This window comes from Homo sapiens, chromosome 9 (genome assembly GCF_000001405.40).
Source record: "Homo sapiens chromosome 9, GRCh38.p14 Primary Assembly".
Classification (NCBI taxonomy): Eukaryota; Metazoa; Chordata; class Mammalia; order Primates; family Hominidae; genus Homo; species Homo sapiens.
Genome location: NC_000009.12, coordinates 104,551,014 through 104,566,448, shown reverse-complemented (window position 1 = coordinate 104,566,448; position 15,435 = coordinate 104,551,014). Strand labels below are relative to the sequence as shown.

At 37.4% G+C, this 15,435-nt stretch overlaps 1 long non-coding RNA gene across 1 annotated transcript in view; it reads left to right on the top strand.

The window, feature by feature from the left end:
- The window catches only part of LOC107987105 (uncharacterized), a 217,429-nt gene that overhangs the window by 181,191 nt on the left and 20,803 nt on the right, over positions 1-15,435 (top strand). Inside the window, exon 4 of the long non-coding RNA XR_007061705.1 lies at positions 9,931-10,137. This is a non-coding gene — a long non-coding RNA (uncharacterized LOC107987105). The remainder of the gene's footprint in view (positions 1-9,930; positions 10,138-15,435) is intronic.

Sequence of the window (15,435 nt, the reverse complement as noted above, 5' to 3'; positions counted from 1 at the left end):
ATATGAACAACAAACAATAAAGTAATAGAAACAAATATAACAAAAAATAAGGATCTACATTTATCTCAACAAGGGATACGTAAGACCTTTATAGAAATTCTTTAAAAATTATATTATAATGAAGGGCATAGTAGAATATGAGTAATTGAAAAGGTATGACATGTTAATAGGTAGGATAAAAATATAAGAATGCTGTCATTTCCCTCTCAAATTAGTCTATACATTCAATTGAATCCATTAAAGATTTAGCTGGTTTTTTTTTAGGGATTTGAGTACTTATCCTAAATTCATATGAAAGAATAAAAGTATATAACTTGCACAGTCAGTTTTATAAAAGAAAAATATGAGGGAGCATTCTGTCCCAGACAGAAAAAGAAATGTGGTTTTAATAGAAGGGACTATCATAGATGTAAAAAAAAAAAAAAGAAAAAAGAAAAAAAGAAATCGACTTCTGATGTCATAAAAACAACATAATGTGGATTAAGTGAATAAAAAATTGAGGTACTTACAAAATTTTTAAAAAGCGTAGTTAGACCAAACATTTTTAAAAATAAAGTTTTTCATCTAGGTAAAAGAAAAAAGTCAGTTGTAGAGTAGATGGTCAGCAATGGAGGAGAATAAAGGGAATTTTCCAAGGTCTGGGAAGGCAGGGTTCACCCAAGGAATTTAAGTCTTGTCATCCCACTGGAACGGTTATCCTTAGAGTGGAGGAAAACGAATCTGGCATTTGTATTAGCCCAATGCCATGAAATATGCCATTCACATAAGTAATCCTCTTGATCTGACTGTGTGTTCCCTTCCAATGACAAGCCCGCATTCAGGTAACTTGGATATAAAGAAAGAATGAGCAGAGAAATTTGGTGGTTGCTCCCCATAGGCCTCTGTTTCTCATTGTAAAGCTTGGCACTCTACTTCCTAGTCATATCTGTGAGCTCGTGTGAATCTACACCTGTGAATGAGATCCAGTCTCTTCTTACTTACAAATCAATTTTAAGTCTGTGGTACTAAGGGACAGAATGTGGACCTTGGTAAAATCACCAAGCATTGCCATAGGTGTGTTGGTAGGCAATCAGTCACCATTCCCGGGGAAGCCTCTGAATCACTACACATTTTATTCAAACACCCAGATTAAGTACAGATGCATTTCAAAGAAGGAGAAATCATCTGAGAGGGGTAGCACAAGATTTCATCATATTCATTGAATTTGGTCCTGATGAGCTGAGGGGGAAATGCCTCAGGTAATAGACTGAGGCTAAAAGGCATCAGTGGGAATTCTACAGAAGAAAACAATTACAGGAGGATAGTAGGAAAAGGAAAAAAAAAAGAGGAGAACTGGTTTGCCAATTTGTGATGAATATTAAATGTAAAGTTAAGGAATTATAATTTATTATCTAGGCAATTGGGAGCCACTGGAGTTTTGATCAGGGAATGTTAAAGCTGAAAACACACACAAACACTCAAGATTGTTATGGGAATATTCTTCAGGGTCTTGTACTTTTCTCCCCAATATTTGACTGTGACCTGTGCTTTGTAGTTTTGTAAGTGTTTTTCAGGGCAATTGTTGGCATCTTCTTTGGCTTGTAGAGAACCTGACTCAAAATTCATCTTCCTTGGAAATGGACACATAGTAGTTCTTTTTAGGTTAAATTGATAATAAAACATTTTATTTTAATAATTTATTTTATTTTCTAAAAAGAGACAATCCTGTCTCCTCTGAGTTCTTAGCCAAGTTTTAGAATAATCAGTGGAAACTAAAGTGTTTGTAGTTTCAGTTTGAAGGAAAGGCCAAAGTTTTGTTGGGTCCTTCAAAGCTGGGTCTTAACTGATTGCTTTAGCTATTAAGCTAATGAAACTCGTCAGGCTAACTGCCCCATTCTGCCTTGGTTTTTCAGTTTCTTTCACTTCTGACTGTGAAAGTGACTTCATTGAAACCCAGAGAAAAAGAAAAACATCCCAGTTGATAAGTTAAAGGACTCATGCCCTGGAGGTTATAGGAAGCAAACCCTTCTGCCATTCATGTCCCCAACCCCCTTTTTTTAAGAAAGCTTTTGTCTCTTCTGTCTCCCTCACAGTTTTTCTTCTAGAAGTAGTAAGCACATTAAGGAATTGCTCATTATGTGAAAAAGTACACATTCCTTTTGTCTTTAGTTTTCATATAGAGGCCCTAGGGTGTATTGAACATTATTAGCAATAGTAGTCAAATGCACGTGAGCTGTAAAAAATCTTGGCTGCACCTCTTATGAGCTTTGTAGCATCATGCTGCATTTCTAGCTTCTCTCAGCTCAGTACCATAAACTTAGCATATATGATAACAGTTAAACTCAGAGCAAGCTAACCAGCCTCTGTTAGCCCCACTACACAAGTTTATGGTAGAGAGTAGGAACTTAAAACACATTAGCTTCTTTTTTGGGTCATAATTAGTTACAATTAAAAGTGTATGTGAATGAAAGCTACATTCTTAGGCAAAGAATAAACAGGCACTGGTCACTGGTAATTCTGGTCCAAGGAGCGTCCAGAAAAGGTTAGTGGAAGAGGTAATTTACATTCCTTCATATTTACAGAAAATTATATGCAATTTGAATTACGTTCATATTTAGTTATAGAAAACGTATTTTTTGTCTTATATAATTTGAACCCAACAATTATTCTGAATATAACCACACAGGTGATATGATGTCTTAGCTATTTTAAAAATACTTTCAAACATAGTGGGCACAGCAGCTGCTGAAAATGGTCAAATTATAGTATTGCAGTTCTACACATTTGGAACACAGAATTAATTTTTTTTAGCAGATTATAGGTCCAATAATAGTGTTCAAATTGCCTGGCTCTTGAAAATGGGAGAGAATACATCTGTCTTGCAATGATGTTTCTAGGTTAGAGCACCAGACAGCGGAATCTAATGTTCTCATTCTGTCTTCTGGGGGAAAGGAGAGAAGAGGCAGAATAAATGTTTTTGAAAAGGCAGGTGACACTGGAAAAGAACACCGAACTTCATTTTATAGTATAGATTTGAAACTCAAAGACTTGGAACCTCCTTTTTTCTCTTCTTTAAATGAGGCCAATTCCTACCTAAGAGTCCTGTTGTGAATGTTACCCAGACAGTGATCTAACATATAATGCAAATCTCTGTAACGCTAAATGACGAAAACATGACAGATGAAAAATTAGATATGTCCAGTTAAAGCATATAAAATTGATATCTATAATTGAAAAACAATATTTACAAAGCAAGAAGATGGAATATGCCATCATTTTTGTACCTGTGAACCTGAGGAATGGTTTCCTTTCCTTGGTTTGAGACCAGTCTTCTTTCTTAACAGCTGTTTTACTTGACCGCCTCAAAAAATGTTCTGTTATGTAATAATTTTCATGATAAAGTGAGGGGATGTAAGTGAGAATTAGATAGCAAACAGCATGCTGTAATTATTTTCTTTAAGTTTCCACTTACCTGTAGTTTATTCCTCAGGTAAAACTGATAGATGAAGCTGTATAAAATTCTGAAACTCAGGTGTAGAGTTTCTAGTTTAATTTTGGAGAAAAAAGATACAGGCCCATAGGTTCTAGGGGCTTTTATGGTGACTTAAGTGTTTTGCTACATTTTGAGCACCAGAAACATCCTCCAAAGGACCGGCCATTACAACAACAAGGCAATTTAAATTCTTTTTGGGGTGACTCAGGGAGGGGTCCAATATTTACAACAAATTACAGGTAAGAAGGTAAACATGGAGAATTAAAAACTTTCTAAAACTCCAGGGATAATGTCATCAGACTCAATTATATCATATGATTGGTATATTCTTGTTCTAATGCAATTCAAATAGTAAATATATTGCTGTCTGCATTATCACAATATGTGAAGATTTTGAGACCCCAATAAACAGAAAAAGTCTTTAATAAGTATTGTTTTTTATTTTTAAGAATTATCTGAAAACTTTCCATAATCAAATGAATAAATCACCCTCATTTGCATAATGCTTTCAAATATCTGATGGAGTTCTTAGAATACTACCATGAGTTAATATAATTATTCCTATTAGACAGATGTAAACCTGAGATAGGAAGTTCAACTGTTTTGCTGAAGGTTGTCCAGCCAGCATATAAGAGAATAAAAAATATCTTAAATCTACCATTTGTGACTCTAGCTCCTGCAATCAATCTGTGGCACTGCCCCGTCTCTCACTCATAAGAGCCCAGAATGAGCTTTTAGAATATTGCGTCTACATTCTGCAATGAGTACAGAAAAGCTAGGTTAGAAATATGTAAATAATTTAAGCTGACAATTAAATATCATTAAAAATTTTAAAATGAGCTTTACTTTTTCTCTAGACCCATGTCAGAATTGAAGCATGTGGAACAGAATGTAACCTCTGATTAAAAACAATTCCTCTTTGATTTTATTAATTTTTAAATTTTATTTCACTTTTTAGTGATATATGATATTTGCATAAATTTATGGGGTATATGTGATGTTTTATTATTTGCATAGAATGTGCACCAGTAAAGTCAGAGTATTTAAGTTAAGATATCCATCACCTTGAACATTTATTATTTCTATGTGTTGGGAACATTTCAAGTCCTTTCTTCTAGCTGTTTTGAAATATATACTATTATTGTTAACTATAGTCATCGTACTCTGCTATTGAACATTAGAACTTATTCCTTCTATCTAACTGTGCATCTGTACTCATTAACCAACCTGTCCTTTTTTTTTTTTGAGACGAAGTCTCACTCTGTTGCCCAGGCTGGAGTGCAGTGGTACGATCTCGGCTCACTGCAACCTCTGCCTCCTGGGTTCAAGCAGTTCTCTGCCTCAGCCTCCCGAGTAGCTGGGATTACAGGCGCCTGCCACCACGCCTAGCTAATTTTTGTATTTTTAGTAAAGACGGGACTTCACCATCTTGGTGAGGCTGGTCTTGAACTTCTGACCTTGCAATCAATCTGCTTTGGCCTCTCAAAGTGCTGGGATTACAGGTGTGAGCCACTGTGCCTGGCCTAGCCAACCTCTCTTTAACACTGCCCTCCCACCCCCAAACACCCCAACCTCTGGCAACTATCATTCTATTCTTTCTACCCACAAATTCTCTGTGACATATTTCCTGTAATTTTTTTTTTAATTTCAATAGGTTTTTGGGGGAACAGGAGGTGTTTGGCTACATGAATAAGTTCTTTAGTGGGGATTTCTGAGGTTTTAGTGCACCTGTCACCTGAGCAGTTTACACTATACCCAATGTCTAGTCTTTTATCTCTCACCCCTCTCCCAAACTGTTCCCAAATCCTCAAAGTCCATTGTATCATTTTTATGCCTTTGCATCCTCATAGCTTAGCCTCCCACTTATAAGTGAGAATGTATAATGTTTGATTTTCCATTCCTGAGTTACTTCACTTAGAATAATGCTCTCCAATTCTATCCAGGTCACTGTGAATGCCATTATTTCGTTCCTTTTTATGGTTGAGTAGTATTCTATACACCACAGTTTCTTTATCTACTTGTTGATTGATGGGCATTTCGGCTGGTTCCATATTTTTGCAATTGCAAATTGTGCTGCTGTAAACATGCATGTGCAAGTATCTTTTTCATATAATGACTTCTTTTCCTCTGGGTAGATACCCAGTAGTGGGATTGCTGGATCAAATGGTAGTTCTACTTTTAGTTCTTTAGGAAATATCTACGCTGTTTTCCATAATGATTGTACTAGTTTACATTCCCACCAGCAGTGTAGAAGTGTTCCCTTTTCACTACATCCATGTCAACATTTATTATTTTTTTATTTTTAAATTATGGCCATGCTTGCAGGAGTGAGGTGTTATCTCATTGTGATTTTGTTTTGCATTTCCCTGATCATTAGTGATGTTGAGCATTTTTTCATGTTTCTTGGCCATTTGTATACATTCTTTTTTTTTTTTTTTGAGACGGAGTCTTGCTGTGTCATCCAGGCTGGTGTGCAGTGGCACGATCTCAGCTTACTGCAATCTCTGCTTCCCAGGTTCAAGTGATTCTCTTGCCTCAGCCTCTGAGTAGCTGGGATTACAGACGTGCACCACCATGCCCAGCTAATTTTTGTATTTTTAGTAGAGACAGGGTTTCACTGTGTTCGTCAGGCTGGTCTCGAACTCCTGACCTCAAGTGATCTGCCCGCCTAGGCCTCCCAGAGTTCTGGGATTACAGGCGTGACCCATCACACCCAGTTCATTTATATATATTCTTTTGAGAATTGTCTAGTTATGTCCTTTGCCCACTTTTTGATGGGATTGTTTTTTTTTTTTTTTTTTTTTTTGCTAATTCATCCGAATTCCTTGTAGATTCTGTATATTAGTCATTTGTCAGATGTATAGATGGTGAAGATTTTCTCCCACTTTGTGGGTTTTCTGTTTACTCTGCTGATTGTTTCTTTTGCTGTGAAGAAGCTTTTTAGTTTAACTAAATCCTATCTATTTATCTTTGTTTTTGTTGCATTTGTGTTTGAGTTCTTGTTCATGAAGTTTTTGCCTAAGCCAATGTCTAGATTTAAATCCTTAATCCATCTTGAGTTGATTTTTGTATAAGGTGAGAGATGAGGATCAAGTTTCATTCTTCTACATGTGGCTTGCCAATTATCCCAGCACCATTTGTTGAATAGGTTGTCTTTTCCCCACTTGATGTTTTTGTTTGCTTTGTTAAAGATCAGCTGGCTATAAGTGTTTGGCTTTATTTCTGGGTTCTCTGTTCTGTTCCATTGATCTAAGTACCTATTTTTATACCAGTACCATGCTGTTTTGGTGACTATGGCCTTAGAGTATAGTTTGAAGTCAGGTAATGTGATGACTCCAGATTTGTTCTTTTTGCTTAGTCTTGCTTTGGCTGTATGGGCTCTTTTTTGGTTCCATATGAATTTTAGAATTGTCTTTTCTAGTCCTTTTAAGAATGATGGTGGTATTTTCATGGAAATTGCATTGAATTTGTAGATTGCTTTTGGCAGTGTGGTAATTTTCACAATATTGATTCTACTCATCCATGAACATGGGATATGTTTCCTTTTGTTTGTGTTGTCTATGACTTCTTTCAACAGTGTTTTCCTTGTAGAGGTCTTTCACCTCCTTGGTTAGGTATATCCCTAAGTATTTTAATTTTTTTGCAGCTATTGTAAAAGGGGTTGAGTTCTTGATCTGATTCTTATTTTGGCCACTGTCGGTGTATAGGAGAACTACTGATTTATGTATATTAATTTTGTATCCTGAAACTCTGCTGAATTCATTCATTAGTTCTAGGAGCTTTTTGGAGGAATCTTTAGGGTTTTCTAGGCATACAACCATGTCATCAGCAAAGAGTGATAGTGTGACTTGTTTTGTTTTGTTTTGTTTTTTTTGAGATGGAGTCTCACTCTTGTCACCCAGGCTGGAGTGCAATGGTGCAATCTTGGCTCACTGCGATCTCTGACTCCTGGGTTCAAGCGATTCTCCTGACTCAGCCTCCCCAGTAGCTGGGATTACAGGTGCCCACCACCATGCCTGGCTAATTTTTTGTATTTTTGATAGAGATGGGGTTTCACCATGTTGGCCAGGCTGGTCTTGAACTCCTGACCTCAGGTGATCCACCCACCTCGGCCTCCCAAAATACTGGGACTACAGGTGTGAGCCACCACGCCCGACCGTGACTTCCTCTTTACCAATTTGGATGCCCTTTCTTTCTTTGTTTGTTTCTTTTTTTAAATTTTTACTTTAAGTTCTGGGATATTTGTGCAGAATGTGTAGGTTTGCTACATAGGCATACATGTGCCACAGTAGTTTGCTGCACCTATCAACCCATCATCTAGGTTTTAAGCCCTGCATGTATTAGGTATTTGTCCTAATGCTCTCCCTCCCCTTGACCCCACCCCCCGAGAGGCATGGTGTGTGATGTTCCCTTTCCTGTGTCCATGTGTTCTCATTGTTCAACTCCCATTTATAAGTGAGAACATGTGGTGTTTGGTTTTCTGTTCCTGTGCTAGTTTGCTGAGAATGATGGTTTCCAGCTTCATCCATGTCTCTGCAAATGACACGAACTCATTCTTTTTTATGGCTGCATAGTATACCATGGTGGATATGTGCCACATTTTCTTTATCCAGTCTATCATTGATGGGATTCCCTTTATTTCTTTCTCTTGTCTGATCGCTCTGGCCAGGATTTCCAGTACTATATTGAATAGAAGTAGTGAGAATGGTCATCCTTGTCTTGTTCTAGTTATCACGGGGAATGCTTTCAACTTTTCCCCGTTCAGTATTATGTTGGCTGTGGGTTTGTCATAGGTGGCTTTTATTACCTTAAGGTGTGTCCTTGATTTTGCTGAGGATTTTAATCATAAAGGGATGCTGGATTTTGTCAAATGCTTTTTCTGTGTCTATTGAGGTGATCATGTAATTTTTGTTTTTAATTCTTTTTATGTGGTGTATCACATTTGTTAACTTGCGTGTATTAAACCTTCGCTGCATCCCTGTGATACAGCAAAGGCAGTGCTAAGAGGAAAGTTCATAGCCTTAAATGTCTACTCCAATAATGTTTATGTGTTAGGCGAGTCTCTTGAAGATAGCAGATACTTGGTTGGTGAATTCTGTTTTTCTGTATCCTTTAAGAAGAGCAATTAGGTCGTTAGGGAGGTTTGGGGAGTTCCTTCAGACCTCCAATAAACTTGTTTGTAGAGTCCTGAGGGGTTTCTTCAGAACCCCAATAAAACTTGTTTATTCCTAAACGGGTCCTGTTAAGAATTCCTTCATTATTTTGTCATGTTTTAAGGCCCAGGAAAGCCTAGGTAAAACTCTTGATGGGCTTTTGTTACATTCCAGCCTTCGGACTGGCTTTTTTAGCTTTTAATATTTAACCTAACCACTCAGTCAGTACTGAAACAGTTGTGATGGAGGCCTGGGTTAGTGAATCCTGGTCTGCCACGCCAGCACCTGCACTGGTGGAGGTGTCAGGGGAATGAAGTGGGCTCTGTGAGAGTCTTTGGTTGTAGTTTTGTTTATTGCACTAGTTTTTTGTTAGTTGGCCTCCAGCCAGGAGGTGGGACTTTTAAGAGAGCTTCAGCTGCAGTAGTATAGAGAGGATCAGGTGGTGGGCGGAGCCCTAGAGCTCCCAAGAGATTTTGTCCTTTGTCTTCAGCTACCAGAGCAGGTAAAGAAAGACCATCAGGTAGAGGCAGGGTTAGGCATTTTTGAGCTCAAAGTCTCCTTGGCTGGGGCTTGCTGTGGCTGCTGTAGGGGTTAGGGGTGTGGTTACCAAGCCAATGGAGTTATGTTCCCAGGGGATTATGGCTGCTTTCGCTGTGTCATGCAGGTTACCAGGGATGTGGGGGAAAGCCAGCAGTTACAGGCCTCACCTAGCTCCCCCGCAGCCCAAAAGTCTGGTCTCACTTCCACGGTGTCGCCACCAACAGCATTGAGTTAATTTCCAGGCAGTGGGTGAGAAGGGCTGAGAACTTGCCCCAGGCTACCAGCCTTGGGGAGGGGAGGCGGGGGGAGAAAGTAAGCAGGGCTTTCAGGTTTTGCACCTCCCTGCCTGCTGCAGCTTCTGTGCTATGTCTGCACTTCCAATTCACCTCCTGCCTCAGGTTCTGTCCAGAAAACTTAGCGCTTGGTTGAAATTGTTACAGAGATCATCTGGAAGTTTCCTTCTCCCTGTGATCTTTTCCTAGTTCCTCTGCAGCCCTCCTCAAGAACCCCTGTAAGACAAAGTCAGAAATGGTTTTCCAGGGGACAAAGAGTGCCCACAGGGCTCTTCCCACTGTTTCTTTTACCGTTGTGTTTTGCTCGGCTCTCTAAATTTGTCTCAGCTCCAGGTAAGGTCAAATCCTTCTGTGATATGGACCTTCAGGTTCCCTAGTGAGGGTGTGTGTTTGGGGGTGGATGATCCTCCCCTTTCACAGTTTCACACTTTGGACACTCAGTTTTTTTTTTTTTTTTTTTTGCTATTTCCAGGGGCCTGCAACAGCAATCTGCCTCCTTCAAAGGGTCTGTGGATCCTCTTGGCTTTCCCGGTATGTTCCTGTGGTAGTTCTTGGAGCAAAAGTTCACGATGTGAGTCTCCACACACTGCTCTGTCCACTGGAGTGGGAGCTGCAAGTTAGTCCTGCCTCCAATCTGCCATTTTCCCCCACCTGATCCATCATTCTATTCTCTTTGTCTGTAAGTAAAACTTTTTTGTAAAACTCCCATATATGAGTGAGAACCTGCAACAGTTGTCTCTCTGTGTCTGGCTTAATTTACTTAACATAATGACCCGCAGTTCCCCCATGTTGCTGCAAGTGACTTAATTTTATTTTTTTCCCTATGGCCGAGTAGTATTGCACTGTGTATATATAGCAATTTTTTTTTTGTTCATTCATCTATTGACGGACACTTAGGTTGATTTCATATCATTGCTATTGTAAATAGTGCTGCAATAACATGGGGGTACATGTATCCTTTTAATATACTGATTTCCTTTCCTTTGGATAAATACCTAGTTGTAAGATTGCTGGATCACGTGGTAGTTCTATTTTTAGTTTTACTGAGAAAACTTTATACTGTTTTCCATAATGGCTATACTAATTTACATTCCCGCCAAAAGTGTATAAGAGTTCTCTTTTCTCTGCATCCTCCTCAGCATCTGCTTTTTTTGGGGGGAAGGAGTGGGGGGTCTTTTGATAATAACCATTCTAGCTGGGTAAGCTAATATCTCATTGTGGTTTTGACTTGCATTCCCTGATGATTAGTGATGTTGAGCATATTTTACATACTTCTTGGCCATTTATATGTCTTCTTTTGAAAAACATCTATTCAGATTCTTTGCCTACTTTTTAATGGGACTGTTTTTGCTATTGAATTCCTTGTGTATTCTGGATGTTAGTCCTTTGTTGGATAAATAGTTTGCAAATATTTTCTGTCATTCTGTGGGCTGTCTCTTCACTCTTGATTGTTTCCTTTGCTGTGCAGAAACTTTTTATTTAACCTAGCCCCATTTGTCTATTTTGTATTTTTGTTACTAGTGCTTTTGGGGTTTAACCATGAAGTCATTGCTTAGATCAATGTCATGGAGTGTTTCCCCCATGTTTAGTTCTAATAATTTTATAGTTTTGGGTTTTACATTTAAGTATTTAATCCATTTTAAGTTGATTTTTTTATGTGGTGAGACTTAGCGGTCTAGTTTTATTTTTCTGCATATGGATATTCAGTTTTCCCAGCACTATTTATTAAAGAGGGTGTCTCTTTCCCAATATAGATTTTTGATGCCTTTGTTAAAAATTAGTTGGCTGTAAATATGTGGATTTATTTCTGATTCTCTATTCTTTTCTGTCAGTCTATATGTCTATTTTAATACTAGCACCATGATATTTTGTTTGTTATAGCCTTGGAATATATTTTGAAGTCAGGTAGTGTGAAGTCTCCAGCTTTGTTCTTTCTGCTCAGGATTGCTTTGGCTATTTGGGCCCTTTTTTGGTTCCATATGAATTTTAGAATTTCTTTTTCTGTTTCTGTGAAAAATGACATTGGCATTTCAATAGGAATTTCATTGAATCTATAGGTGCTTTGGATAGTATGGTCATTTTAATGGTATTAATTCTTTTAATTCATGAGTGTGGATGTCTTTCCATTTCCATCCTCCTCAATTTCGTTCACCAGTGTTTTGAGGTTTTCCTTGTAGAAATCTTTTACCTCCTTGGTTACACTTATTTCTAAGTATTTTATTTTCTTTTAGCTATTATAAATGGGATTTACTTATTGATTTCCTTTTCAGCTACTTTGTTTATGGTTTCTAGAAATGTTACTGATTTTTGTATATTGATTTTGTATCCTATAACTTTACTGAATTTATTTATCAGATCTAAGAGTTTTTGGTGGAGTCTTTTGATTTTTCTAAATATAAGAACATGTCATCTGCAAATAAGGACTATTTGACTTCCTCTTTTCTAATTTACTTATTTTCTAATTTATTTATATATTTGCTTAATTGCTCTGGGTTGGACATCCAGTACTATGTTGAATAGGAGTGGTGAAAGTGGGTATTCTTATCTAGTTCCAATTCTTGGAGGAGAGGCTTTCAGCTTGTCCCCATTCTGGATTATGTTTTCTGTGGGTTTGTCATATATGGCCTCAGCATAACGTTTTGTTATGCTGAGATATGTTCCTTCTATGCCTAGTTTGTTGAGAGTTTTTATTATGAAGGGATGCTGAATTTTATCAAAACCACAATTATTTTTGCACCAACCTAATTTTATTTGTATTGGGTACTCCAGTTTAGGGTATATATAGATTTATTTAGAATTATTCTATTCTCTTGCTAAATTTATCCTTTTGTAATTATATCAAACATGTTATTTGCATTAATGACTTATTGCTGGTTACCCTGACGTAACAATGGTTTCAATCTGTCAATAGTCTGAGTACACATTTTGAACCCCAAATGTTGATTTCCCAACGACACTATCATAACAGGAGTTAGTAACCTACAAATACAATTTAGTTTGAGGAAGCTAAAGAGATTCCCATAGGCTTCCTCAGCAAACCCTGACCTAACAATGGTTTCAATTTGTCAATTATTTGTTACTTTGCTTACCGTCCTCCACCATTAGAGCACATGACACTTTGAACATGTTTTAAACAAAGGTTTTAAAGAAAGAAGGTTTCTGCAGGAAAATAGCTTTGTTTTTGTGGATGGCATTTAAAAATACATCCAAGAGATAATAGTCTCTTGCTATCAACATCTCCTGAGATAACCAGTTCATGTTAGCCTTTTCTTTTTGTGTAATTGGTTTTTTTCTTTGCTTTCTTCTATATCAGTAAATACTTACCCTTCTTTTATTTTTATTAATTTTTACCCAGATTATCCTCCTTGAGGTTAGGTTGTTAAGTGCATTAAGATGACTGATCCAAAAAACTGGCAGCAACAAAAGTCTACCCAATGATTTTCCCCTTCATCTGTTCATCATTGTATGGAGTAGGGTTAGACAAACACAAACAGATAGGCCTGCCTCATCCACTGAGCAGGAAAGAGACAAAGCCCACGAATCCCACATTTTAAAAAATGAAAAGAAGGAATGACTCATTCTGAAGGAATGATGGACAGTTATATTTAGAGATACTGTCACAGCATCATGTTCAGCAACTGATCCTTCCTCCAAAACTCAAAAATGCTATCTGTGTTTCACCAATATTATCAAGCAAAGAAAAAAATTAGAAATAGGGAAGTTTCTGTAAGTGCTTATATCTTTCCTGTCACTTTTCCATGTCTTTATAAATATATCTCAATAATGTATTCATCAATCCCTCTTTTCTTTAACATACATATATTTTGACACAAATTCATTCAGTTGTGAAAGTTATCCTACCAGTCTCCTGTCACCCTCCCTACATTTAATAAGCAGATTTAGGTTTTCAATCAGTCCACTTTGTACATCGATGTATATGATGAGTCTATTGTATATGATGCTTCATAACTTGTTATATTTAACTTGGAGTAAAATAGATCCCTTAATTAGGTATTGAACATTCAAATTAGTATAAGCTTGTTATAAGCCTTTAATAGTGGTAGTGGTATTTGCTTTATTTTCTAAGTATGCAAATCCAAATCCTGAACGAGTGTCTCTCTTATTCAAGAGTCATTTTTATCCACCTGGAACTAAGGGTAATGGCCAGTATAATCCACTTGCTAACTTTAAGTCTTCCTGGATCCTTTCAGTAAATATTATATTTTGGGTTGAATTGTGTCCTTCCAAAAGATGTGTTGAAGTCCTAACGTCAGAATCCTCAGAAGGTGACCTTATTTGGAAATAGGGTCATTGCAGTTGTAATTAGTTAAGATGAGATCATACTGGAGCAAGGTGAATTATTGATACAATATGACTAGTGTCCTTGTAAGAACAGCAGAGACAAAGAGACACAAGACACATGGGGGAAAATGCCATGTGACAATGGAGGCAGAGACTGAAGCACCATGGTTGCAAGCCAAGGAATGCCAAGGATTCCTGACAAATCACCCAAAGTTAAGAAGAGGCAAGGGAAGATTTCCCCCTACCAATTTCAGGGAATCTTGACCCTGCTAACACCCTGAGTTGGACTTGAGCTTCCAGAACTGTAGATAATACATTGCTGGTGTTTTAAGTAATCGAGTTTGTGGTACTTTGTCATGGCAGCCCTAGGAAATTAATGCATAGTCCATAACTGCTTTTAGTTTCCAATTTCTTTATGCTGATAAGCATAACAATTTTTGGTACATTTGCAGCTTCGAGAGAGTGGGATGCATATTTTTTGCACACATTGTTGCACTGCTTGAATGCTTCCATGCCTTTTTGTTTCATGTCTCCAAGAGGCCACTTTCAAAGAGCTAATGAAGTCTTCCATTTGTTTATTCTAGTCCTTTTCTGAATTCAGAATGAAATTTTATGACAGGCGTAGACCTATCCCACTTTGGTTATCCCTCTTCAGGTCCATAAAATGTTCTGTAACTTACCATCTCATACATGGATTCCCTTGTTATCTTTCAGTTTTTATAAGGCTCATTTTTCAGACTAAATTGCCAATCCATACTCTGCTGCCTAAGAATTGTGTATACTATATTATTGTTTTTATTATCTAGTTTCTCTGATGATGAGATACAGTGTTAATTCTGCCACTGGGCAGATTTATCTTTTTCTTTTTTGAAGTGCAGTTATAGACCAGTCACAATGTTGTTATCTTTGAAGTTGAGTGTCAGCTTTCTACGCTTGACATGGTGGAGAGTAGACATGGTGCTGCTTGTTTGGCATCCTCTGATAACTGGTAATAGGGAGGGGTCCATTTGTCTATGGGGTAAAAAACTCAAGGAGATTAGTATGTGGCCAAAGACATAGCAGACCTTTTCATGTATGCTATGGATACCTCCACTTGTCCACTTTCTCATGTTCTTGAATATGCCATTTCCATTTAACCAGGAACGCTTATGTGCATTTATCTTTCTGTTGGAATGCTCTTCTCATATGACCCATAATATTATGCATATTTCAGTTGTCAAAATAATTTTACATACTTTCCTAACAGAATAAGCCTAAATTAATGCTTGACATGCCAATGATTGACTTTCAAAAGGCATGAAACTGGAGGCCTCCTACAGTAATTGTCTATGGTAAAATCCCCATGGTTGTCCCAGTGTAGTAGCAGTAATGGAATTTGGCCAAAAGCTCCCATCATTGTGATTACAATTTGACACTGCTAGTAATATATGAGAATTGGGGTTTTAGGATTCCAAAGGTTTCAACAGGGCAATGGCTATTAGAAGCTCCAAGGGCATCTGCTGTTGTTCAGAGCCCCTGATGTTAACAGTTCAGAGCTCCATTCAAATTCAGCATTTCCTTATCCCCTGGCAGTTCTGTGAATGGAGAATAATAATATTACCAGATATGATATATGATTTATTCATAAATCAATCAATCAATTTTTTAGTCTCTTGTTTTGATTTTGGAGCTCACA